The sequence below is a fragment of the Homo sapiens genome, chromosome 16 (assembly GCF_000001405.40).
Source record: "Homo sapiens chromosome 16, GRCh38.p14 Primary Assembly".
NCBI lineage: Eukaryota > Metazoa > Chordata > Mammalia > Primates > Hominidae > Homo > Homo sapiens.
In genome coordinates this window covers 2619635-2646811 of record NC_000016.10, presented here as the reverse complement: position 1 = coordinate 2646811, position 27177 = coordinate 2619635, and the positions used below count along the sequence as shown (strand labels likewise).

The following is a 27177-nucleotide window of genomic DNA, read 5'->3' as shown; positions in this document are numbered from 1 at the left end:
TTTTGTTCTGTCACCCCTGCTGGAGTGCAGTGCTATGACCACGGCTCACTGCAGCCTCAGCCTCCTGGGCTCAAGTAATTCTCCCACTTCAGCTGGGATTACAGGTGTGCGCCACCACAGCCAGCAGATTTTTTTTTTTTTTATTAGATGTGAGGTCTCGCCATGTTACCCAGGCTGGTCTCCCAACACCTGGGCTCAAGCAGTTCTCCTGCCTTGGCCTCCCAAAATGGGAGATTACAGGCATGAGCCACCACGCCTAGCCCATTTCATTAGGGAGGACAAGGATAGTAGACAGGTGCACCTAGGGTCTTATTACTGTAAATTGTTCCAGAGATTTAAATTTCAGAAGCTGTTGAGTAACTGGAAGTGTTGTCTTACTACAATTTGGGGTCACCAAGTGGGTGGCAGATGGATTGGGCTGTGCAGGGGCTGAAGGACTCACCCGCAGGCCCAGAGTCGCTGGCCTCCCTGAGGCTGTGCTGCCTCCATGGGACTGAGTGCTGGGACGGGGCGTTTTGGGAGCCTGGCAGGACCCTACCCTGCACGTGGGCCCTGGCCGTGCGTTTCCTCCAGATCGTGGCAGGCGGTCTCGGGATGCTGTTAATGCAGTTGAATCACCACCTCAAAATGCTACAAAATCTACCCTTTACAACAATAGTAGTACAAATAAACGTTTAGACACTTCACGCTCAAAGAGGGCTTTTGCTCGGGCTTTTTATTTCACAATTGATGCTTAAAAGTGCTTTTAAAGGCAATATTGCAACTACATTTATTTATTTATTTATTTGCTGCAGAAATGAAGTTATTTATTAAAACACACCCATGGTAGCAAGTTCTGATGGGTCTGAAGAGGAGGCAGGAGCACGGTGTTGAGCTTCTAAACATCGTCCTGCCAGGGAGGGACCCTGACAGGTGCTTGGCTGACATGCTGTGGCCGAGGCAGGAAGGAAGTTGCAGAATTCCACGAAGGCAGAAGACTACCAGTAGGCAGGTCCCATGTCATCACACCCGTGAGAGTGGCAGTGGTCTGGTGGCCACAGAGATGTCTGACAGCGTGGGTCTGGAGCCGGTGATCGGCTGGCTTTGAGAGGTTCCTTCAGGAGGTGCCTGGACCCTGATGGACAGCCCCCAGCCTCACGCTCCCCCTTGAGGTTTGCAGAGGGTGCCAGAAGTGACCCCAGAAAGGGTTCTCTGAGGTGCTGCGGTCCCTACCCAGCAGCCAGGGGCTCTGTCTGGAAGTGGCCGTGTCGTGGCCGTGCTGAACCGCTATGAGTCCAGAGCTTCCCGGGCCTCCTCTGCTCTGCGGGGAAGGCTCCGGGGCTCTCCCCACCTTCTCGAATCTTTGCTCAGATATCACCTTCCCAGCAAAGGCTGTCTGATTATTTGAATTTGCACCACCCTCATCCAAATAGTCCTGTTCTCTTTGCCTGCTTTATTTTTCTCATAGTAATCATCATCATCTGACACGCTGTGCATTTTCCTGCTCTGTGTATGGAAGTCTGTCTGTCCTGCTGGAATGCAGGCTTCTGGAGGGTGTGGTCTTGGTTTCGTTCTCTGCTGTACTTCCAGTGCCCAGGACGGTGCCCAGCATGGAGTAGCTGCTCAGCCAATGCTGTGGTCTTGATGGGACTGCATTCGCTTTACATGATTGAAGCTGCTGGCGTGGAAGCTGTGCCATGTCATGTAAAGCATGCAGTGGGAAAGCAGTGGGGTGGGGGCGTCTTTGTATTACATCATCTGTTGTTGCCGTTTCAAAAATCCAGAGGCCTTTCTACACTTCAGTTGGATGTTGATTTCAAAATGACCGATGTTTCTTTCTGACTCATGAAGGCTGCTGTCTTTGGAATCTGACATTAGAGGGAAGCGAAACTTTACAATGTGTGGGGCAGCCTGGTGTGGTGGCTCAGGTCTGTAATCCAGCACTTTGGGAGGCCAAGGATGGCGGATCACTCGAGCCCTGGAGTTTGAGACCAGCCTGGGCAGCATGATGAGACCCCATCTCTACAAAAATTAGCTGGACACGGTGGTGCACACCTGTGGTCCCACTACTCAGGAGGCTGAGGTGGGAGGATCACTTGAGCCTAGGAGGTCGAGACTGCAGTGAGCTATGATCATGCCACTGAGCTCCAGCCTGGGAGACAGAGTGAGACCCCGTCTCAAAACAGAAAAAAAGTCACCAGGCATGGTGGCACATGCCTGTAATTGCATCACTTTGGGAAGCTGAGGCAGGCAGATCACTTGAGTTCAGGAGTTCGAAACCAGCCGGGACAACAAGCAAAACCCCATCTCTATTTTTTCAAAATTTGTGTATATAAAATTTTTGTATGAAAGCTGTGTGGTACATGTTTAGCTGTTTTATGTTTCACTTTCTGGACATGAGTGTGATCCTCCCTGCTCTTGCAGTGCCATCTAAGCTGTCATCAGTTTTCCTGGGCGAGTGATGCATCTCCCCAGCTGGTCTGTCTGAGCCCCTGGCCAGCCAAGGGGCTGCCCTTGACTCTCCCGGCACCCGCCCGTCTCTGCATAGCCACCCCCACCACTTTAACTGGATGGTTTTGTATTGAGGTCAGGCTGGACATCAGCTTTCTATGGGCAGGGACCGTGTCCTCTTATTGGCTGAGTAATTGGGTCCATAGCGTAGGTAAGTCACCTCCTTTAAGAGACTTTGATAAGCAAAATAGTGAATATATTCTTTTTATTTATTTACTTATTATTTTTTATTTTTGAGGCAGGATCTCCCTCTGTCGTCCAGGCTGGAGTGCAGTGATGTGATCTTGGCTCATTGCAGCCTCGACCTCCCCGGGCTTAGGTAATCCTCCTACCTCAGCCTCCCAATTAACTGCGACGACAGGCACATGCCACCGTACCTGGTTAATTTTTATATTTTTAGTAGAGGTGGGGTTTTGCTGTGTTTGCCCAGGCTGGTCTTGAACTCATGGGCTGAAGTGATCCACCCACTTTGGCCTCTGCGCCCGGCCTATTTTTTTTTTTTTTTTTTTTTGAGACGAAATTTCACTCTTGTTGCCTAGGCTGGAGTGCAATGGCATGCTATCAGCTCACTGCAACCTCTGCCTTGCAGGTTGAAGCGATTCTCCTGCCTCAGCCTCCCAAGTAGCTGGCATTACAGGCATGCGCCAACAAGCCCGGCTAGTTTTTTTGTATTTTTAGTAGAGACGGGATTTCTCCATGTGGTCAGGCTGGTCTCGAACTCCTGACCTCAGGTGATCCTCCCGCCTCTGCCTCCCAAAGTGCTGGGATTACAGGCCTGAGCCACTGTGCCCGGCCTAATTTTGTATTTTTAGTAGAGAAGGGGTTTATTCGTGTTGGTCAGGCTGATCTTGAACTCCCGACCACAGGGGATCCACCCGCCTCATCCACCCAAACTGCTGGGACTACAGGCATGAGCCACCAAGCCCGGCCGTTTTTAGCGTTTAAAAGGATTGCAGCTTGGCTGGTGGCAGTCCCTCTGTCCTGGCACAGACGCAGGGGGAGACCCTGTGTCTTCAGACAGCATGGACTTCAGGACCCTACTGAGAGATGGAATCAAGAGCTCTCCGGGGTTCTTTGAGTGGGGAGTTGTATCGGAAACCACCATCAGCGCGCCTGAGCTCGCCTCGCATTGTTCTTCTGTAGTGCGGGGGGCCACTGCCACCACCGTGAGGACACGTTGGGGTCTGGGGAGGGATTGTTATGGCTGTGGGTGCACCTTGCACGTCTTGCCGACCTAGCTTTGCACGCTGATCTTCCCTCCGTGCCCGCTTACATTGTTAACTGGGTTTCTGCCCTCCCTCCTCTCCTTCGTATTTCTGTGTCTCATTGACAACTGTTCTGTAGTCGCTTTGTTGACAGTTGCCAAACTGCTTTCCAAAAACATTTCCACTGCAATCCCGGTTTTTGGTGCCAGCCGCAGTGGTGTGAGTACGCTCGCTTTATTATAGTCTTGCCAGCACTGGGCGTCTCTGTGTATTGTAAACACATGCGATCATCACTCTTATCTCTCCATCCCCCCCACAATTAAAGATGTGCCGTGCTATCTCTGCTCAGGTTACCTTGGCCTTGGGATGAGTTGGCTGGAGGCTCAGGCAGCGCGAGGGACAGGAGGAGGGCGAGGCGCTGCCTGGTGGATTAGCGGGGAGCCATGGCACGGGCAGGACTCAGGAGAGGAGGCCGGCAGCTCACAGCAGACCGCGGGGCTCAGCTGGCCTGCCCTGTGCTTGGGGTTTGTTTTTGAGCGTTGAAATGAGGTCCTTAAACCTTAGTCCGTGCATTGAGAGCAAGGCAGCTGCCTTGAGCCTTACTTCCTTTTCCTCTTTGTCGCCTAGTATGACGCCGTGCCCATCCAGTCCAGCGTGGTGTTATGTTCCTGCCCATCCCCATCAATGGTGAGGACCCAGACTGAGTCCAGCACGCCCCCTGGCATTCCTGGTGGCAGCAGGCAGGGCCCCGCCATGGACGGCACTGCAGCCGAGCCTCGGCCCGGCGCCGGCTCCCTGCAGCATGCCCAGCCTCCGCCGCAGCCTCGGAAGAAGCGGCCTGAGGACTTCAAGTTTGGGAAAATTCTTGGGGAAGGCTCTTTTTCCACGGTGAGTATTTGCTGCTGCTGTGTGTCAAACGTACGTGATTTCCTTGGGGAGGCTCACCTTCCTCAGGGCTTGCCGGAGACTCCAAGCAAGGCTGGTGTCCTTCCAGGCAGGAGGTCTCAGGCCCCTTGAGGGGTGTCACCTGTTGTGAAGGCCACTTGAGTCTTTGGGGGCTGGGTACCCCCCAAGCAGATGACGTGATGAGTGTGGCTAAATATTTAACCTGGTTTTGTAGATGAGAACGTTAGACACATCTCTTGATGGTCTGCGGAGGTTTTTTCTGATGTAGTTAATTTCATTTTAACCTGGCATCAGCAAGTTACATTCTGTGTCCTTGTGTCTCACTGGCAGGGCCCTGGGAAGCTGTTCTTTTTCTTAGATTGAAAGTTAGTATCTCTCCAGGGTTTTTGGGGACATTTATTGACCTCTTCTTATTTCTCTGTTTTGTTTTTTTGAATACATAAAACAGTACGCTCTGGACATTTGCTGGAGACACAGCCTCCAGATTCTTGTGTTCCGAGTTTCACAAACAGGAGTATTGTCGCAGTACTGTCAAGTCACACTTGTTACCTGTCTTTGGGGTGTTTTTTCCTCTGAAAGCAAAGAAATGAAGGTCGAAAGCAGCTGACATGGGACGTTTTGCTGACGTGGGACCCATGAAGCCGTGTGTGGTTGTGGATTTAGTGAAGGTTGTAACAGGTTCAGGGGAGGCCTGAGCAACTCGGGGTGCACTGTCTCCATCTGGGCCTCTAAAGAGACAGAGTCCCGTGCCGCCACTGTGGTCGCCAAGGTGGCCGCCGTGTGCGTGCTAGGGCCATTCCAGGGAGCCCTGGGGGCACCTCACTCTGGAGGGCCTGGGTGAGTTCCTGAATAATTCTTTCTTGCCTGACCTTTGTGAAGAAACCGTAGGTGAGGTTTATTTTCCTTTTTTCTCTTTTTTACACATAGGAAATATTTCACAATGCAAAGAAAAACATGAAATATAGCTTACCCATATTCCCAACATATTGTTTTAATTAATGTTAACTTTTGCTGCCCTTACACTTTAGATTTTTTAAATTGCAGGTTTTATGAAATAATTTTTTTATAAAAGGATTATGCCCTCATGAAAAATGCCTTCAACCATGAGACTAGTCCCCAAAGTTTTGGGGACTCAGATCCTTTCAGAAAGAAGAAACTCTTTGGAAAACCTTGGGCATTCTGCATGGCTGCTTACAACCACCCAGTGAAAGAACAGGCCTCCTCTTTTCTCAGCTTTACCTGTTTTTTGAGACAGAGTCTTGCTCTGTCGCCCAGGCTTGAGTGCAGTGGCATGATCATAGCTCACTGCAGCCTCGACTTCCTGGGCTCAAGTGATCCTCTTACCTCAGCCTCCCAAGTAGCTGCAGTTACAGGAATGCACCACCGTGCCCAGCTAATTGTAAAATTTTTTGTAGAGACAGGGTCTCACTTTGTTGCCCAGACTGGTCTTGAACTCCTAGGCTCGAGTGATTCTCTCCTCAGCCTTGCAAAGTGTTGGGATTACAGGCGTGAGCCACTGTGCTTGGCCTCAGTTTTACTTCCTTATATGTCTCTTTTTAATTTAACTTTATTTTATTATGTATGTATTTATCCTTTTAGAAACAGAGTCTTGCTCTGTCACCTAGGCTGGAGTGCAGCGGTGTGATCATAGCTCACTGCAGCCTTCACCACCTGGGCTTAAGCGATCCTCCTGCCTTAGCCTCCTGAGTAGCTGGGACCACAGGCATGTGCCACCATACATGGCCCTTAACATTTATCTTGACTGAAAAAGGAAGACTCATCTGTGAAATTGCCTGTTTCCCTGGGTTCTGGAGATGGGTGGAGAGCAGGCACTGTCCCTCCAGGGGCTGTGGTCCGTGTCTTTCTGAACCTGCACCAGGGAGGTGCCCGGGAGAGCACGGTGAGCTGGAGGCTCCTCCATGGGGCTGTTTGGAATCCACAGTACTGGGTCTCAGATTACATGTGTTACCCTCAGTTCTTTCTCAGCTTTCCTGAAATGGAGATCACATAAAAGTTGATTTCCAGGGGAGGGGGAAAGGACAGTGATAGGAGGCTGGGCAAGAGCCAGCTGCAGCACCGGAGAGCCGGGAGGCCCCCTGAGGACGGTCACAACCTCCAGGGAGGGACACGTCACGCGCCATTCTCTGGAAGAGGATCCTTCCTTCTTGTAGGAAACCTGCTTGTGAAGTGTTGAGTTTAGACAACGGAAAGATCACATCAGTATCCCCTTAGAAAGGGTTCCACTAAATATCGGTGTTCGTTCACAATTCTTTCTTCCTCTTTTCTACTTATGAAGCTAGCACGTGCTCTTGTGGAGAAACGTGACCTCACAGAAACACATGAGCTAGAGAGGGGAGCCCTGCCCGGCCCACTTCCCCTTTCTCCCTGGCAGCTGAGAGCCATCCATGCGTGGCGTATTCCTCTGGGAAGATCTTGAGTATGTAGAGTCCCCAGAATCCAACTTCATTCTTCTTGAGTGCCACAAGGCGTCTCACATGGTGCTTTCCAGGATCTCTTCTGACGTGTCCCATCAGGAGTCCTGCCCCGATTGCGGCTCACAGCCCGGGGCCAGGTGGACCTGGCCCTGTGGCCTCCTGAAGGTCTTCCTGCCAGCCCCCAGGAATGTCACGGGACAGGTTTCCTCTGCTCCCTGCTCCTCAGGCCGTCCCCCTGTGGGTGTCTTAGGAGACACTTGTGTCCCACTTGGTGGTGGTGGGGCCTCCCTGGCACAGCTGCCTCATGCTCTCTGGCTAAACCGTGGGCCCACCAGGAATCTCCAGTCTGGTGCCTCAGGGTGTGCCCCAGGCTAGTCCGAGTGGAGGGTCTCTCCCCTGTTTGGGATGCCTGCCCTGCTGGAGTGCTCTGTCTCGGAGGTGGGGTTTGAGTGCAGGGCTCAGGGGTGCTGAGAGGACAGGGCAGGAGGCCTGCTGCATCCCGGGCAGGTGGCTCCCTCTTGTGGGCACGCAGGGCCATGCATTGTTGGTTTAGCTCCCTCTGTCCTTTACAGCCAGGCTCTCTTCATGGTGCCCACAAGCAACATCATACAAAATGTATGATAACAGTTATTTCCAAAAACGAAACTTCAGGGCAGCCTTTGCAATGAATGTATACTAGAAGGACATATTGTTGTCACAGAAGCCCCTGTGCCCTGCCACTTGTGGTGGCGCCACTGTCTTCCTTCTGTTGGTGAAGGGCGTGGCAGTCGAAGAGGTTCCTGAGTTTGTACTTGTGTTGCACCGTTAGGGCTGTTAGCAGCTGATCCAGAAGCTTCTGGAAACAACGGAGAGATGGATATGTTTTCTCTTAGCTGTTAGAACACATCAACACGAGCATTGGCTTTTAGCTCTACTTGTCAGTACAAGACCCAAAATATTTCACTGTAGACTCAAGCCTTCAGTGGGGACAGGAAGCGTGCGTGTGGGGCAGAGGGACTCGTCAGGCCCAGTGTCCTGGTTATTACATTGTGTGTTTCTTTTTCTCCTTTTCTTTCCCAACCAGGTTGTCCTGGCTCGAGAACTGGCAACCTCCAGAGAATATGCGAGTGAGTATGGGCTGCAGGGAGCTGTGCGTCCGGGAGCAGGGCAAGCGGCTCCGTGCAGGGCGGCTGGGGTGGCAGGGCCGGTGTTTCTGTGCTGATTTCAGGGTACAGGACACTGTTGGCTTTAGAGACCACCAGGCTGTTGTGTACAATGTTTGAAAGACTTTAATTTGTACCAGTTACCTTTGTGAGTCATGTCTTTAGTGTTTTTTGTTGTTTCTGATAGTAACTCACTTCTCTCTCACCTGAAGTTAAAATTCTGGAGAAGCGACATATCATAAAAGAGAACAAGGTCCCCTATGTAACCAGAGAGCGGGATGTCATGTCGCGCCTGGATCACCCCTTCTTTGTTAAGCTTTACTTCACATTTCAGGACGACGAGAAGCTGTGTATCCTTTGCGTGGTTGGTGCCGTCTGAAGCCACACCAGTCACCCCTCTCACTTGGAATCAGACCCTGTGTGTTCCCACAAGCAGCCCCCGCTCCCTGCCGAGTGGGGTCCCTCAGGCCGCTGACATTCAGGGAGGCAGCCGAGGCAGCGCCAGGGTGTGGCTGGGAGTCTGCACAGGACGTTACCTCCCGGAGAAGCCACCGATGTGGCTCCAGCACAGTCCTCTCTGCTGCGGCTTGCTTGGTCGGCGTCCCTTGCTCCCCTAGAGCTCCATCTTTTCTGTTATTAAACCTTGGCTCAGGAATCTGGGAGGCAAGGCCCGGTGGAAGTTGGGGTGGGCCCCACCTCTGCCCCATCCAGCTGACCTGTGGGCCTGCCAGTGGCTGGGCTGGCCACGCCACACCGTCGTCACCCCCAGCAGGTGCAGTCTGCATCTGCTCTTCTCCTCCCCCGCCACCCTCCAAGCTGGCCCAAGTGTCGTGGCCTCCCCATCCTGCCTGGGGAGGGGCCTGAGTCCTCCCACCTGTCCTCCCCGTCTCTCCCCAGCACCCGGCTCTTCTGTGTTAGAGCTTCGTTCTGGCCTGCTCCCACTCTCAGCACCATCCTGCAGCTCCTTCGGCTGCCGGCGGAGTGTGTGTGCTCTCTCTGTTTGGAGGTGCTTGCCAAGTGCAGGTTGATGGGTGATGGGGATGCGCTGCTATGCCGGGTGGCGTCTCTGCCCACGAGAAGCTTCGATTTTGGTGGAGGAGCTGGACGTGCACTGACGATCCGTGTCAGAGGCTTCCCGGCAGCAAGATGTGCTGCCAAGAGTCTTAGGGCTGGGTAGGGGCTGGCGGCAGTGTGGGGCTCTTTCAGCTCCTGGGCAGGAGTGTGTGGGGGGGCATGAAAGGCTGTGGTGGGCTGGGCCCCTGAGCCGTGGCAGCCTGGCACTGACTCTGGACTTCCTTCTCTTTGTGGCGGGGAACGTGGGGTTTGCTGTGGCTTCTCCTAGGCCAGGCGGGAGAACGGGCAGGAGAGCAGGGGCAGGGGCCGTGGTCGAGGTCTGATGAACAGACCGGTCAAGAGAATGGAGTCAGGGGCAGCTCCTGGGAGGTGGCCCTCAAGCCTAGTGCACAGCGGTGTCTGCTGCTGAGCTGGGAGAGACCGGGGCGGGTGCTGGGCTGGCATTTCATGCATCCGCTGGTGCCACCATTCAGGTCTGAGTGGGCACTTAGGTGCTGCCAGCAGAGCTCCAGGAGGAGTCAGGGCCGTGAGGACTTTCACAGCGAGCTGGCAGGCTGCCCAGAGGTTGGCTCCTCTGTGAGTGGAGCCTGGGTTCCCCCCAGTGCAGGGGTGAACACGAGGAGGGGCCCACCGAGGAGAGGAGATGGTGATGGGATGTTGCTCCCGAGCTCGAATGATGGAGACCCAGAGGCCACGGGATCAAACGATTTCTGATGGAGGGTGCTGGCTGCCCACGCAGGGGTTATGAAGCGGTCAGGTGCACACAGCCTGACCCGTGGATCTGCCCTGTGCCAGTTGTTGATGGTGGGTAGGCAGTTTCTTGGGGGGACTGTTCAAGGAAGAGTAAGAGGTGAGGAAATGGAAACGACGCAAGGTGCTTCCCTGGGATTTTGCCTAGGGAGGAGCGGGGCAGTGGCCGAGCAGCTGCCAGGCACGTGGCCCGGAGCGGGCTTTGCTGTTGGTTTGTGGAAGGTTGTAGAGAATGCTGGCCTCCAGGCAGGCCTGCTGTCCTCCAGTGTCATCCCTGTTCCTGCCTCTGTCTCCCACTCTCAGTGGCTTCTTCACGGTATGTTCTGTCTCTCACCTTCACGTTCCCCGGGGCCCTGCACGTCTCTGCCCCCGTATGAGCCACGGGAGTCCCTCTGGGCTTCCCGCAGAGCCGTCGGAACACGGCTGCTTGTTGGTTGTGAGGCTGCAACAGAATTGCACACGCTTGACCTCTCCCATCCTCTCCTCCCGGGGGCTCAGAGTCCAGAGGAGAGTGAATCTTGCTGACTGATTTCCAAATGGGATTGGCCAGAGCGGTGCAGGTAGTGGGAACTCCAGGTCTTTGTCCAGTGGTCCATGTTGCCCTTCATCATTAAGTCAAATTCCAAAGCCCCGGGAGGTTGTGAAGGTTCACTCGCCCCTGACGGGAACGAGACCCAGGGACTTCTGCCCCACCAGGCATCCTCGGTGTGGGTTGTATTTAGAGATGGGCCTGGACAGGGGCCACTTTGGGCAGCCTTGGTTGCAAGTCCCTTCGCTTCTGGGTTTCTCTTCGTTGCCCTGAAGCTTCAGGTTCATCCTTGGTGGGAGATGATGGTGCCCTGGCAAACAGAAGTGAGCAGGCAGGCCAGCCTGGCTCTGAGCACGAGCCCCCCTTCCTGGCCTCGAGAGCCACTGCTCAGGGCAGGCAAGGATTTGGGTCCCCGTGTCCTGGGCTGCCAGTAAGTGTGAAGTATCTGGAGGTTTCCGGTAATGGGGATGGACGTTTGCCGCTTGCAGGGGAATCTGTATCTGGGATCCATTTATTGTCGGTCTTAAGTCCTCTTGGAAAAGGAGGCTACAGATGGAGCCATCGTAGGGCAGTGGTGCCCAGAGGAGGGGGCCTCCCAGACACACTTCATGGGTGTAGAAGTTCATGAGATGGCTTTTGTCTTACAAAGTGTGTCACTCGGCCAGGTGCGGTGGCTCACGCCTGTAATCCCGGCACTTTGGGAGGCCAAGGCGGGCAGATCACGAGGATAAGAGATGGAGACTATCCTGGCCAACCTGGGGAAACCCCGTCTCTACTAAAAATACCAAAACTAGGGGGGCATGGTGGCGCGTGCTTGTAGTCCCAGCTACTCGGGAGGCTGAGGCAGGAGAATTGCTTGACTCCGGGAGGCGGAGGTTGCAGCGAGCCGAGGTAGCGCCACTGCACTCCAGCCTGGCGACAGAGCGAGACTGCATCTTAAAAAAAAAAAACAAAACAAAATGTGTCACTTTATCCACGGAAGGAGACTGCATGGAAGGGGCAGTGCCACGCGTGGATGCGTAGCACATAAAGCCGGGGTCTCAGGGCAGGGGCTGTCGCGCTCTCCGACCCTGCTCCGCCGGCCCCCGGGGTCTTTGTGCATCGAAGCCTGCACGTGAGTTATATGCGCTTTTTGGTCGGGGTCTGTAGGCCCTGTCACCAGCGGTTCCCTTTCACTGAGGCCGTGGACACGGCCAGGGGCCAGAGGGGCAGTCGGGGCTGAGAGGCTCTGTTCCTGTTTCCTCGAGACCGTGTAATGGCGTTCTTAATGAGAAAGCCCTCATCATGCTGGTGCCTCGTCTTGGAGCTGGGGCCTGGGATGCCCGGCAGATCCAGTGACATGACTGTCTTGGGCCACAGGTACTTTCAGTTTGCACTGAATTAAAAATTCTTATCAGACTTTTAAGGTTAGTTTTCCAAAAATGACTTTTACAAAATAAAACACATGAGCCAGGCGTGGTAGCGCGTACCTACGTTCCCAGCCACTTGGGTTGGTTAAGGTGGGAGGATCGCTTGAGCCAGGGAGGTTGAGGCTGCAGTGAGCTATGATTGTGCCCCTGCACTCCAGTCTGGGCAACGGAGTAAACCTGCTCCAAAACGAAACAAGAGATTTTTACACTTCCTTAACTGCACGATATTCAGATTTCGGCCTTAGTTATGCCAAAAATGGAGAACTACTTAAATATATTCGCAAAATCGGTTCATTCGATGAGACCTGTACCCGATTTTACACGGCTGAGATTGTGTCTGCTTTAGAGTACTTGCACGGCAAGGGCATCATTCACAGGTAACCGCGGGGGTGGCTGGGTGGGTTTGCAGGACGTCAGTTTGATGATCAGGGCCAGTGACCGTTTGGCTCACAGGCCACGGCTGATGCCCAGATGGCCCCCGCCCTTGAGGTCAGCCAGGTTGGAGTGCTCCCTGGATGGGTGGGACTGAGATGCCTGCCTGTGCCACAGCCTGAGTGCCAAGGCGAGGCCACACGTCCACGGAGCGCTGACGTGGAGAGGCTCTCCTGCCAATACCACATGCAATGGTTGCGTGTCTTTCCTGGCGAGCTAATGATTCTTTTCACCATCTTGACTGATGCTTTTTATCTTTTTCAGTTGTAGCTTCTGTGTGTACTTCTTTCTGGTCTCGTTTTTCATGACTTTCTGATAAAGTCAGCTCAGAAGTGTGCATAGCTTTCATTTTGTGCGTTAAAAATGATAGATTTTACTTCGTTAAAAAACGACTTAGAATGACATGGAGATGTGAGGTGGTGAATCCCTACTGTGTCCAGCCAACACTTGTTGCTTGTGAGCTTTAGGCCTGTAGCCCTGGTTGTCAGCCTGTAAGGATCATATACATTCATTCGTTCATTTTGTTTTCAGCAAAATTTAGAGTACGTAATAATGTTGCTGTTTTAAGTATTTCTTCTCAAATGTGAAAATCTGCTTTTACAGGGACCTTAAACCGGAAAACATTTTGTTAAATGAAGATATGCACATCCAGATCACAGATTTTGGAACAGCAAAAGTCTTATCCCCAGAGAGCAAACAAGGTGTGTGAGTTTTATTTCTAGCAGAGCCTGGCTCTGTGCTTCAGATGGAAAGCGACTTCTGAGGAGTGTTTGCATTGTGTCATCTTCATCAACGACTGAGGTGGGGATACCTTGGCCGTTCTCAAACAGATCTTGAACTTTCTCTGGGCAAGACCCTGCCACGCCAGCAGGTCTTCCTGGGGGGGCCCCAGGCAGTGTGTGTTGGTGTAGAGTGGGAGGTCGCTGGTTCTCCTCGGCGCCTGCTCTGGTTCATCCTCCCTACTCGTCTTCTGGACAGTGTGGGGGGCCACATTCGTACCCAGCCACCCGCGTGCAGGATGTGGAGCCGGTGTGGTCAGCTCCTGGCTCCTCCTGCCTGTGTTGCAGGTAGTATCCGGGCGCGCACATCCCTGTACCTCGGTGCGCTCCCTCCGTTAGCTGTCCGTCTGTCTCCCTGCTGGCCACGTGCACGTTTGTCATCACAAAGCCTCCGAGTCCTGTTCCCAAGGGTAGTTTCTAGCCTCGGACCATGTTGTGACAACTCCATCGGAGATGTTGCTGAAAGTCCACTCGGGCCAGAGAAGTGGCCTAGGTTGTCTTAGCCGGCCGGGGGTATCTCGATGCCCTTCAGGTGCTTATTGGGTAGAAATCACAAACTCTGGAGGTGTAAAGAAAGGCAGCTGAAATTCTGAAGAGTGCTCCCGAGTGCTGGGTAGAGAGAAGATAAAGCCTTGGGATGAGGTTTGGGGAAGCTGAAGGCTGCTGTGTGCATTATAAGTGACCTTGAAGGTGAACCTCGGGTGATTGCTGGAGTCTGTCTGGGTCAAGAGGCTGGGTCCAAGGGCCTCCAAGTGGTGCATGGGCCTCTGCCTGGGCTTGGGGTGCCCGTCAGAGAAAGGCCTCCATAGAGGGCTCTGTGGGGGTGAGAGGTGCTGGAGCCCGGTTTGGAGGGACGCGAGTGCAGGTTTGTTGGTGGAGGAAAGATTCAGACAGAAGTGACCGTGTTGTTGTAGCTGCTCTCGTGTGGAAAAGGGGAACCGTGAGCACAGAGCAGTGGTGGTTCTGGCCTCGTCTCCATGGACGGCCAGCCGGCCCCCAGTAGCTGGAGGAGAGCACAGCTGGGTGGAGAGCAGGCCCTTCAGCAAGGCAGGCACTCTGGACTCAGCTCGGCTTTTCTGTTTCTTAGGAATTGGCCCTGTATTCTGTGTGCTGGGAGGTACCCAGCTGGTGCCTGTGGGGCCTCTCTTGGCACCTTGAGGTAGTTGCTCGTTTCCTCCACCGGGCCTTATCTTTCCCTTCTGGGCGTTTCCAGCCCTGTGTTTTCACACTCAGGGCTCTGGCTGAGATTCTGTCAGTTGGTGCTTTCATCTCTGCACAGTCATGGAGGCCCTAAGACCTTGTCTTGGATCTGGGAACTTCTCTCAGAATCCTCAAACATCACCCTGGCTGTGCATGGGAGCTCACACCTGTAATCCTAGGGCTTTGGGAGGCTGAGGCAGGAGGATCGTTTGAGGCCAGGAATTTGAGACCAGCCACTGGGCAACATGGTGAGACTCCATATCTACAAAAAAGCCAAAAATCATCCTGGTGTGATGGCACACACCTGTAGTCCCAGCTACTCGAGAGGCTGAAATGAGAGATGGATGATGCAGTGAACTAGGATGATCCCACTGCACTCCAGCCTGGGGAACAGAGCGATCAACTGTTAAAAAATAGTAGTAATAAATAAAAAATAAAAGAAGCCTGTAATCCCAGCACTTTGGGAGGTCGAGGTGGGCAAATCACGAGGTCAGGAGATCGAGACCATCCTGGCTAACATGGTGAAACCCCGTCTCTACTAAAAATATAAAAAATTAGCTGGGCGTGGTGGTGCGCGCCTGTAGTCTTAGCTACTCGGGAGGCTGAGGCAGGAGAATCGCTTGAACCCGGGAGGCAGAGGTTGCAGTGAGCCACGATCGTGCCACTGCACTCCAGCCTGGGCAACAGAGTGAGACTCCGTCTCATAAATAAAGAAATAAAAAACATCACCCTTTTGGGGCTAAGATCGAAACTAGCAATCAAGCCGGAGCCTCTTGTTGTCTAAGGTGGCTTAGTCCTGCTGCCGTCCGCTGCCTTTTGTAGCCCCGTTCCCCTCCCCGTCCAGTGGCATGCCAGAGTGCGCACCTCCCGCCCAAAGCTGCACAGAGCCAGGGCGGTCTTCCTGGCGTTTCAGACATGCCCTGAAACCTTGATCTGTTTGACTCATTCCTGTTAAATAGTAACCGTCTTACTGACTGGTAATCCTGTTTCTGTGTACACAGTGTAACCTCATCTCCCTCAGTGTTGTCTGTGACAAAGTTGAACCAAACAGGAACTTCTGTCTCGTAAGCTTTCTTAGGATCTGTCAGTGTCTTGCTGTCCTTGTGCTGACTTCCTGCCCAGAGATGAGCCCACAACATTCCGTGGGGTCAGGAGCGCTGCGGGCTGGCTCTGCCCCCAGTCAGTCCCGGGAACCGCTCTCTGGGCTGTGCCCACAGCCAGCCTCAGGAACCACCTCCCTGGGCTGTGCTCTGGGCATTTTTCCCTTCGTGTGGATTTTCTTTCTTTTTTTTTCCCCTCCCTTATTGCAAGGCTTTATTTATTCATAATTTCAACTTTTATTTTAGATTCAGGGGATCCACGTGCAGGTTTGTGACGTGGGTAGAGTTTCTTTGGAATCTGGTATTTGGCACAGGGATAGTCTTGTTGCCCTGTAGCCACTTAAAAAAAACGGGCATTTAAGTGCGCTGATGAAATAGTGAAATAGCTTGGGCACAGTGGCCCACCTGTAATCCCAACACTTGGGGAGGCCGAGGCAGGTCGATCATTTGCGCCCAGGAGTTTGAGACCAGCCTGGGGAACACGGCAAAACCCTGTCTCTATATAAGATAAAAAACAAAAATTAGCTGGGCGTGCTAGTGCGTGCCTGTAGTCCCAGCTACTCAGGAGGCTGAGGTGGGAGGATCACCTGAGCCTGGGAGATTGAGGCTGCAGTGAGCCGTGATCCTGCCACTGCGCTCCAGCCTGGGCGACAGAGCAAGAGCCTGCCTCTGGAAAAGAAAGAAGAAATCATGAAATAAACCTTTGCTTTTTGATAGCAGGAGGCTAAAAGTCTTTACATCATTGTAAACCAGGGCCAGTTGCTTGTGCGTATAGATGAGTTGGTGGTTCTTTTCCCCTTGTTTGAGGAAAAGGAAAAAACTATAATTTATGTGGCGGATTAATTTTAGTAACTTATTTTCTGTTTGAGGTAGTTCAGTATCTTGGAATTTATTCCTGCGTTGACTTCTTTTGTGCAGAGATGGCTTCCCCAAAACACCTTCAAATCTAGAATAAAAGTGTTGATGGGAGCAAGGCATAGCGAGGTTCCTTACCCGCGCAGCAGCTGTGCCACGCCCTCCTCCTAGAGGGAGGCAGGTTTTCCCATCGTTCCTGTGGGGTGGGTAGGGTGGCCCCCGTATCTGCAGGGGGAGGTGGTGGGAGATGGAGCAGGGCAGTGGTGTGGGCTTGGGAGATTGAGGAGGACCTCCTGGCAGAGAGGGACTTCTGCCTCCTCTCCTTGTACAGGAGCCTGTGGATGTATCTTGGTGAGGGCAGCTGACTCAGAGTAAGCTTCCCACCTGGGCTGTCTCTGGCCTGTGCCCTCTATGCAAGAACCTTGGGGAGCTCGGGGTGTCCTTGGAGGTTCAGACTTGGAGTAGGGTTTGGAAACCTGTGTTCTGACCTGTGCAGGCCTTTCTGGCATGCAGCCAGGTGTGGAGGCAGCACTCACCAAACAGGAAGGAGAGGAAGGCCACAGGTGTGGGCAGGGCTGGGTGGACAGGGTGGACGCTGTGGGCTTCAGGTGTGGGCGGGGCTGGCTGGAGAGGGTGGATGCCGTGGGCTTCAGTCACTACAGTGGCTCCTCTGTCCTCATCTGTGCATGGCCATCGTCCAGACCCTCAGACTAGCTGCCGTTGCGCTTCCCACTGTGCTGTGGACTCCAGACGCTCTCCTGAGGGCCACAGCTGCCTTGAGCTTGCCGCCATTCTAGCTTAGGCTGGATCACCCACCCCCGGCACAGAGAGGAGCTGCCTTCAAGACGGATTTTCCTGCATGATGGAAAGTGGAGTTTGCACAATAAAAGAGAGAGTCCCCATTCTCCCATCACCAAGAGCAGCTCTTCCCATCTTCACGTGGTTTATTTTGGTCTTTTCCAGATTGGCATTCATTTAGGATTGGCTATGATGCATGGGGCTGGGGAGAATTACTGCTTATTGTAAAAAATTCACTCGGTGCTAGTGACCTGATGCCCAGCATCCTCAGTGGGTTTTCCCTGTAAAAATTCCAGTATGTGTCGCTAAAATACAAATCTTTTTAAAAGCGTAACCACAATACCATACTGTTTGATATGTAAAAATGAACGGTAATTGCTTAATATCTCAAAGTGTCCAGTCAGAGTTATATTTCCAGTTGTCTCATGTACATCATAATGTTTTGTTGCTCACTTGAACAGGATTCAAATAAGTTTTGCACAATTTCATTTTTAAATTTTTTCTTTTTCTTTTGCCATTAAATACTCTCCTATCCAAACACATGTATTTTAATCTGTAGCTTCCCCCATTTTTATTTTTTCCCTTGCAGTTTGTTGAAGAAACAAGTCATTTGCATCTGTGTGGCGTTGTTGAACATGGTCCTCTCTCCTGGCCACTACATCACATTCAGAGTTGATTCTCCCCTCCCTGTTCAGAGACTGGTGGTGGGTGTTCTTTATCCGGCATCTCTCTGTGACAGCAGCAGCATTTGTGGCCATAATTGGCCTAAATTCATGAACTCATTAGAGAGTGCAGAAAGGTCACAGCCTGATACATTCATGAGATGCAATTCATTAAAGAGCAACTTCTCCCCAGCAACTTTTGGGTTGACTCGTGGTATCATCTGTAAAAGAAAAGTAGGATAAATGCTTCTTTCCCCTTTTCATGCCATTTTTGAAAACCACACATTGGTTCTCCATTCTCTTCCAATGATGATTAATTCATTAAAAAAGTTATTACCCTTCCTCACACCATACACAAAAGCTCACTCCAGGGCCAGGCGCGGTGGCTCACATCTGTAATCGCAGCACTTTGGGAGGCTGAGGCGAGTGGATCACCTGAGGTCGGGAGTTCGAGACCAGCCCGGCCAACGTGACGAAACCCTGTCTCTACTAAAAATACAAAATTTATGGCTGGGCGTGGTGGCTCACGCCTGTAATCCCAGCACTTTGGAAGGCCGAGGCAGGCGGATCACCTGAGATCAGGAGTTCGAGACCCGCCTGACCAACATGGCGAAACCCTGTCTCTACTGAAAATACAGGTGTGTTTTTAGCTAGGTGTGGTGGTGCATGCCTGTACTCCCAGCTACTCAGGAGGCAGGAGAATAACTTGAACCTGGGAGGCGGAGGTTGCAGTGAGCCGAGATCCACACTATTGCACTCCAGCCTGGGCAACAAGAGCGAAACGCCATCTCAAAAAAAAAAAAAAAAAAAACCAAAAAAAAAAACTTAGCCAGGTGACTCCTGTAATCCCAGCTACTTGCGAGGCTGAGGCAGGAGAATCGCTGGAACCTGGTAGGCGGAGGTTGCGGTGAGCCAAGATCACGACACTGTGCTGCAGCCTGGGCAACAGAGGAAAACTCCATCCCTGTGCCTCCCATCTCCCCGCCTCACCAAAAAAAAAAAAAAAAAAAAAAAAAGGGTGACTCCAGGCCGGGCGCGGTGGCTCACGCCTGTAATCTCAGCACTTTGGGAAGCTGAAGCGGGCAGACCACTTGAGGTCAGGAGTTCGCGACCAGCTGCCCATCTCTAGTAAAAATACAAAAATTAGCCAGGCATGGTGGTGTGCGCCTGTAATCCCAGCTATTTGGAGTGGGGGCTGAGGCAGGAGACTCACTCGAACCTGGGAGACGGAGGTTGCAGTGAGGCGAGATCGCACCACTGCGCTCCAGCCTGGGCGGCGGAGTGAGACTCCATCTCAAAAAAAAAGTTCACTCCGAATGCGTTAGAGGTCTGAATGTAAGGGCGAAGACTATGACACTCTTAGAAGAAATTATAGGATTAAATGTGACAATTGGGTTAGGCAGTGTTTTCTTAGATACACTGCCAAAAAAAAGCATAAGCGACCAAGAAAAGGATGAGTTAGATTTATATCAAGTTTAAGCACTTTTGTGCTTCAAGTGATATCACGAAAGTGAAGAGACCCACCAAACAGGAGACACGATCTGCTAATCATCTACCTGATATGGGACTTGTATCCAGAATGTAAGGAACTCAGAGGGAGAAAAAAAAAATAAAGCACGGAACAAAGGGTATGAGTAGACATTTTTCCAAGGGAGAGATACACAAATGGCCCATAAGCACATGCAAAGTTCCTCAACGTTATTAGTCATTAGGAAAATGCAAATCAAAACCACAGGGTGATACTACCTCACACCCACCAGGAGGGCTGTGATGAGAAGACAGATAATAACAAACGTTAGCAACGACGTAGGGGACTGGAACCCACGTATGCTGTGGGTGGGAATGCCAGAAAGTACAGCCACTTTGGAAAACAGGCTGGCAGCTCCTCAGAAGGAAACAGAATTACCATATGACCCTGCAGTCCCACTCCTAGGTATGAACCCACAAGAAATGAAAACACACATTCAGACAAAAACAGGTGCTAGAATGCCCGTAGCATCATGCACAGTAGCCAAAAGGTGGAAACGACGCACGTGTCATCGAATGAGTGGATGAACGAGTGGCGTGTCCACACGACGGGGGAATGTTCTCCAGCCCTAACGAGGGATGAGGCGCCCATGCACGCTGCCATGCAGATGGGCCTTGAAAACACTGCCCTCAGTGAAAGCCTGCCGGGATCTGAGAAGGGATGGCATCGAGTCTAGAGATGAGCTTACGAGGCGTTACCATTGTTAACCCACGTTAAGTCTTCTGAGCCATCACCATGGGCTGTCTTTCTGTTTATTTAGATCTTTCTTTCAAAAACACTTTGTAGTTTTCAGAGTATAAGCTTTATGCGTCTTTTGTGACATTTATTCTTATTTGTTTTTAATGTTATTCTAAATAGAGTTATTGGCCGGGCACGGTGGCTCACACATGTAATCCCAGCACTTTGGGAGGCCGGGGTGGGTGGATCACCTAAGGTCAGGAGTCGGAGACCAGTTGAGGTGGGAGGATCGCTTGAACCCGGGAGGCGGAGGAGGTTGCAGTAAGCTGACCTCAGACCGCTGCACTCCAGCCTGGGCAACAGAGCGAGACTTTGTCTCGGGAAGAAAAAAAAAAAAAAAATAGAGTTGTGAATTTTCTTCCCTTTTTTTTCCTTTTTCTGTTTTTATTTTTTTTTTTTTTGAGACGGAATTTCGCTCTTGTTGCCCAAGCTGGAGTGCGGTGGCGCGATCTCGGCTCACTGCAACCTCCGCCTCCCGGGTTCAAGCGATTCTCCTGCCTCAGCCTCCCGAGTAGCTGGGATTACAGGCGCCCACCACCACGCCCGGCTAATTTTGTGTGTTTTTAGTAGAAACGGGGTTTCACCACGTTTATGGATAACATGGTCTTGAACTCCTGACCGCAGGTGATCCGCCTGCCTCGGCCTCCCAGAGTGCTGGGATTGTGAATTTCATTTCTGGGTTGCTCCTGGAAATTGTGCGGAAATGCAGTTGGTTTTTCCCTGCCCCGCACCCTGCTGAGCTCTCGTTAGTGGTAATAGCTTCTCAGTGGAGTCCGCAGGACTTTGTGCACACAGGATCCTGTCATCTGTGATTCGAGCTAGTTTTATTTGTTCCCTTTCAACCTGGCTGCCTTTTGTCTTCTTCCCTAATTGTCCTGGCTGAGACCTCTAGTTCGGTGTTGGCTGGATGTGGTGAGCCGGGCGCCCTGGTCTTAGGGAGAGCGTGCGGTTTTTGACCATCGAGCATGATGTTGGCCGTAGGCCGTGCGTGCCCTTTGTCAGACCCTGGGCCCTCCCTTCTGTGCCTCGGCTATTCCATATTTTTGTCCTGTAGAGGTGGGGAATTTTTGTTAACTGCATTTTCTGCATCTGTTGAGATGATCCTGTGTTTTCCTTAGTGCTTTATTCTAATGAGATGCAATGCATTGCTTTTTGTATTTTGAACCAACCTTGCACTGTGTCATACATCCTCTTGGTCATGATGCCTAGTCCTTTCTAGACGTTGCTGCATTTGGTTTGCTGGTGTTTCGTCCAAAGGGTAGTCACGTTTTGCGGAGCGTTTTTCTGTGCTTCTTTGTGGGTTTATGGATAACATGGCAGCCGGCACCCTTGGCTTTGAAGAGAGTGTGGGTGTCTCGTGAGCTCAGGATCACTTCTTCAGGTCGTCCCTCCCACTGCCCCTCCAAGTATGACTGGCAGATCTGGGGGACTGTGGGTGGTCCATGGAGTTTCTTTGATGAGGGTGGAGACAACAACCCAGACAAGATCCCACTGTCTCTTTCCCCAGCGTCGGTAGTCCCGTGGCATGCGGGGGCATCAGCAGCCAGTGCGGGGCTCTGGGCCTGAGTTTCCAGCAGCTGGAGGGGCGTGAGCTTTGGCCAGTCTCTGAGCTCCCAGGGAGAAGTAACTAGGTGGTCTCTGAGATTTCCTAACGCTGTGTCTGGGACTCTGAGCTCGGATGTCACAGATAGAAGTCAGGGGATCTGTGAGGCTGGATAGGAGGAAATTACTAATTTTCACTAACCTTTCAGCAAAGCGTACCATTTCCTTCCATTATGAACATCAGCAACAAACATCTGTCATCAGAAGTCACAGGTGTTCCCATGTCCTGCCGCAGGGGTCACGTCACGGTAGTGACGCCATGCCAGTTGTGCCGAGCACCGCTGCCGGGTTCCTGCGGCGTGACCTGCTGCTGTGTCGTGCAAGTCACATAGTACTACATCACAGATCCATTCCTTCAATAATTTGATACGTGTATTGGATTATAATTGCTTTCTCCTACAGTCCTGTGTATTTTATGCATTTGGAACATTATTCCGAGGGTAGCCATCTTCTCCACGCTCTAGCGGCGCTGTCTGTCTCTGGATTAAACTAAGGACAGGTGTCCTTTTCCAAGGGGGTGACTTTGCGTATGCCCAGAGGCTCGGAGTCCCACCTTCAGGAAGGTGTGGCAGAGGAATCGAGGGTGAGGGTGGGCAAGCCCTGAGGAAAGAAGGGAGAGGGGGAAGACCCTTGGGGAGCTAGGAGGAGCTGAGGTTGGAGAGGGCAGGGAGGGATTCCAGGAGATCCGAGCCCGTAGCTCGCTTGCAGGAAGCTTAGAACAGCAGCAGCAGCAGCGAGGGTCCCGACAGCACGGCAGGTCACTATGTAGCGCTCATCCGAGAGATGGGGTGGGTGTTGGCCTCACGGACTTGCTCCGTGCACGCTGTGGCTGTTTAAAAGCACATACGGCTCCGCGTGCTGCACGACGACCTCAGTCATTTAATTATGCATTATATACATCTCTCCAGAGGACAAAAACCTAGACTTTTTAATAATGGCATTTGAAAAAGTACAAGTCACAAAAGCAACACTCGATGATAGTAAAGAACAGAAACGCCGAATATGTAGGTGGAGCAAGTGGCGTCCCGTCCCGCCAGCAGACGCGGCCCTCGTCGCTGTGCCACGCCGGACCCTGAAGGACAGAGCATGGAGAGGGAGCTGCAGGGTCTGGGAGGCAAACATCTTTGTGACTTCTGATGCTCATTGGAAAGTTGCCCCCAGAAGCGACGCCATTTGACAGCCCCACCCTTAGCGCTGCGTCTGTCCCCTCAGATCCCTGCCAGCGCTATGTATTTTTATTCTTTTTTCCCTTTGCCAGTGTGATAGGCTGTCGTGTTTTAATTTGCATTTCTTTGATTCTTTGCAGGGTTGAATGGCTTCGTTTGTTTTTGGCTCTTGGTTTGGTTGTCTTTCCTCTAGGCCGGCAGGGGCGGGGTGCGTGTTTGCGGATGTCCTTGGTGTTCTTGGCAGGATCACTGAGGGTCCTGGCAGGATGCAAATGCAGCCATGAAGTGTTTGTTTTTTGTTTATTATTTGAGACAGGGTCTGGCTCTATTGCCTAGGCTAGAGTACCGTGGGGCCATTGTGGCTGACTGTACCCTCAGCTTCCCGGGTTCAAGCGATCCTCCCTTCTCAGCCTCCCGAGTAGCTGAGACTAGAGGTGCACCACCATGCCTGGCTAATTCTTGAAATTCTTTCTAGACACGGAGTCTCACTATGTTGCTCAGACTGGTCTCAAACTCCTGGCCTCGAGCAGTCCTCCTGCCTCGGCCTCCCAAAGCAGTGGGACTGCAGGGGTGAGCCACCGCACCTGGGCAGTCATGAAGTCCGCAGAAAAGTCATTCACTGAAGGGATTGAGTCCCCGCAGCAGAGGCTGGGAGGTTCTCTCAGCATGGCCGGAGGAGGGCAGGTGGAAGGGACCACTCAGAAGCGGCCCACGGGCAGGGCCGGTGTGGACAGCAGCTGCGTGGTGGCCCTGGGCCAGCTCGTGCTGTGGCTCTGCTCCGTCACAGCTCCTCTGTGGAGGAAGGCCCTTGGGCTGGAGGCCTGAGTCTTGTTCCCTTTGTAGCGCCTCAGCTCCCAAGCTGTTTGTGATGGAAAGGAGGTTTTTCTGGCCTGCAACTGTTTATTGTGTGCCTGGGCACGTTTGGATACCCCAGGTCCTGCAGTGAGCCAGCCAGCGCCGTGTCCTCATGCCCTCCGTTGAGCGGGCGCCACCGGCAGAATGTGCTGGCCGTTTGTGTGCAGCTCACTGTCCAGGCGCGTGTCGGGTGGGAGCGCCAGGGTGCAGGGCGCCGGTGTCCAGGGGTCAGGCAGGCGTCTTTGAGCCGGTGAGCCATGAGCCAGCCCCGGTGCGCCCCGGACAAGTCTGGCTCCTGGGGGTGCATGGTCCGCCATGTGCGACACCCACCGCGCAGCCCTTGATTGTCACAGATCGTGAGTCCGAGTGTGACCTTCTCTCTCCTCTGCAGCCAGGGCCAACTCATTCGTGGGAACAGCGCAGTACGTTTCTCCAGAGCTGCTCACGGAGAAGTCCGCCTGTAAGAGGTAACCACTTTCATCTAAGCCGTACTTCCCTTTTCTTTAACACAGAAATTAATATTTGAGAGAGTGAATTTGGTGGCCTTTAAGTAGCTAAGCATACTTGGGAAGAAATTAGCATTTCGCATTTTAAGGCGTATTTTCCGTGGCGTACACACACGTGATGCGTTAGTGTTGTGTTCTAAGCTTCCTGGGTTTGCTGATGCTTTCTGGTTGCAGATTGAATCGTTTGGGTTTTTTTTGTTTTTGTTGTTTTGTTTTTTGAGACGGAGTCTCGCTCTGTCTCCAGACTGGAGTGCAGTGGCACGATCTCTGCTCGCTGCAACCTCCGCCTCCCGGGTTTAAGCAATTCTCCTGCCTCAGCCTCCCGAGTAGCTGGGACTACAGGCGCACGCCACCACGTCCAGCTGATTGTTGTATTTTTGGTAGAGACGGGGTTTCACCATGTTGGCTAGGATGGTCTCGATCTCTTGAGCTCGTGATCTGCCAGCCTCGGCCTTCCAAAGTGCTGGAGTTACAGGCGTGAGCCACCATGCCCAGCCTGATCGTTTCTTTGGGAAAAACTATTGAGTGAGGAAAGCGTGGCTGCCGTGTGCACAGAGCCCAGGCTTCCTTGGTGCTGTCCCCCGTCGGGGTGGAGGGCAGGCAGCCCGGCCTTCGGGTTGCTCGGCCACACACCAGCTGCAGTGGGACAGCGTCCCGCAGAGCGCAGGGAGGCCCTGGAGGGTGCGGGTGTGGGAGGGAGGAGGCGTCCAGCAGGCATGAGGGTCTTTGAGAGACACAGCTGGGTCTTGGTGGCAGCCTCCATAGTGAAAAAATGAAAAAAAGTGCAGATGGTACAGGGGCTGCAGGGCCGGTGCGGGTCAAGGAAGGGGAAAGTGGAGAAGCCCAGCCAGGGGACCACCGGCGGTGTGGGGGAGGATGTCCAGGGAGCTGACGGCAAGGGTTGGTGAGAAGTCTGAGGTGCTGTCTAGGGTGGCTGGGAGGCAGGTGGCAGGCTGAGAGGCAGCATCAGAGTCTGGAGTTTCAAGTCTAGGGAGCAGTTTTGTGGAATGAGGGTGGGGCTGGGGTTCCTCCTGCCCCGGGCCAGTCAAGTGCTGCTGAGGGCTGGGGTCAGCTTCGGCTGCTGGTGCTCTCTTGAGTCGACAGGACCACAGGAGTCCCATGCTGCCACTCTCCTGCTCCGCCAGGTTACAAGGGGCCACCTTCCTGGAGTGAAGTGAGCCACTCTGAGAGAATGAATGATTCTGGGGACGGCAGTTCTGGATTTCTGAGCTGGACAGCTTCAGGAAAAACTGTGGGAGGTGGGGCCGTGGCACAAACGTGATGGGAGGGTGGAAAGGCTCTGAGCACTCACTCAGCGTCTCGGCCGTCTCCAGGCGTTTTCGGTTTTGTTGTTTTAACTTTTTTCAACCAGCAGATACTGAGTTGTCTTTTCATTATTATTGAATTCTTTTTTAAAACAGAGATGGGGTCTTGCTGTGTTGCCCGGTCTCATCTTGAACTCCTAGGCTCAGGCGATCCTCCCATCTCGGCTTCCCAAAGTGCTGGGATTACAGGCGTGAGACATGGCGGCCGGCCAGATACTGAGTTCTTAGCATGGCCAGACACTGCTTTAGGTCAGAGCTTCCCAACTGGAGTGATTCTGCTCCCCAGGGGACACTTGGCCCTGTCTGGACAGTTTTAGTTGTCACAGCTGGAGCAGGGGTACGGCTGGCATCCAGCGGGGGAGGCGAGGATGAGCTGCTCAGCATCCCGAGACCCAGAGGACAGTCCCTCCCACAGGTGGGGGGTGGGCGGGGGGGGGGGGGGCGCGACGTACCCGGCTTTCAAAGTGCTTGTCGTCGCCACCTAAGAGCTAGCGTTTCCTCGTTTGTAGATTTTACTTTCAGGGCGGAGGGCCACTTTAGCATTGGTGCAGAAAGATCTCCAAGCTCTACGAATATACGCATAGGATCCTGCCCTCTTCGAAAAAGGAGGAATGTGTATTCACGTTTTCTCGTTTGCGCGTTTCAGGTTCTCTGGAGGGATAGACACTGAACGGATGATGGTAGTTGTCTATGGGGTGAGGGAACAGGTTTATGAGGAAGGCATTTCTGCATCTCTTTTTATGCTTTTGAATTTTTTAATCATGTGATATTAAACATAGTTAAGAACTTTTATTATAAAGAATTGAAAGAGGCCGGGCGTGGTGGCTCACGTCTGTAATCCCATTACTTTGGGAGGTTGAGGCTGGCAGATTGCTTGAGGCCAGGAGTTCGAGACCAGCATGGCCAACGTGGCGAGACCCTGCCTCTACTAAAAGTAACAAAAATTAGCTGGGCCTGGTGGCGAGCGCCTGTAGGCCCAGTTACTCGGGAGGCTGAGGCGGACGCAGAGGTTGCAGTGAGCCGAGATTGTGCCACTGCATTCCAGCCTAGGTGACAGAGTAAGACCCTGTCTCAAAAAAGAAAAAGAAAAAAGAAAAAAAAGAAAAGAGAAATTAATTATGAAGAGGTCTTAGAAAATAAATCTCCAAACCCACTTATAGTCACAGATAATAATTGGGCGTACAGGTATATGTCTTTCCAGTCATTTTTTCTGTGCATTTTATAGCTGTTTGCGTGGCTTTTATGCCATTCGAGTCACGTTGGACAAGCAGTTTTGAGCCCTGCATGATTATATAATGGGCGCTTCCCCAGGTCATTGGAATGACTTGTGGGTGTCTTGATCAGTGTGTGGTTTTCTGTCGCATGAACAGATTGTGGTTCATGGGCCTGTTTCTGTACTGTTGTGCGTTGAAGGGGTTTCCATGGATTCACACACTGGCGTGTGTCTGATGCGCCACCCAACCTGCATGGGCAGGAGGAGGTCTCTTTGCCTGGGGTCGGGGTGGGGGTGCCCTGTTCTCCCTCTAGTGGGCGAGATGGGGTCTGCTGGGCTGAGTGAGAGGCCGCCCTGAATTCCTCGGTGTGGATTTCAGGAAGTGGCATGACTTGTTCTAACTGAACGTTTATTTGATACGCCCTTGGTACATGTGTTTTCCAGAAGTGTAATACTGGCTTCCCCTTCCATTTTTGTA

The 27177-nt window shown here is 52.6% G+C and overlaps 1 long non-coding RNA gene and 2 pseudogenes across 2 annotated transcripts in view; 1 reads left to right on the top strand and 2 right to left on the bottom strand.

The window, feature by feature from the left end:
- Positions 1-682: 682 nt before the first annotated feature.
- On the bottom strand, positions 683-7830 carry FLJ42627 (uncharacterized LOC645644). Its single transcript, NR_024492.1, has one exon. It is a non-coding gene; the product is annotated as an uncharacterized LOC645644 (long non-coding RNA).
- Positions 4322-27177, top strand: part of PDPK2P (3-phosphoinositide dependent protein kinase 2, pseudogene) — a 25938-nt pseudogene continuing 3082 nt past the window's right edge.
- Positions 16318-27177, bottom strand: part of LOC652276 (potassium channel tetramerization domain containing 5 pseudogene) — a 27111-nt pseudogene continuing 16251 nt past the window's right edge. Inside the window, exon 4 of the transcript NR_015441.1 lies at positions 16318-17987. The product of NR_015441.1 is annotated as a potassium channel tetramerization domain containing 5 pseudogene (transcript). The remainder of the gene's footprint in view (positions 17988-27177) is intronic.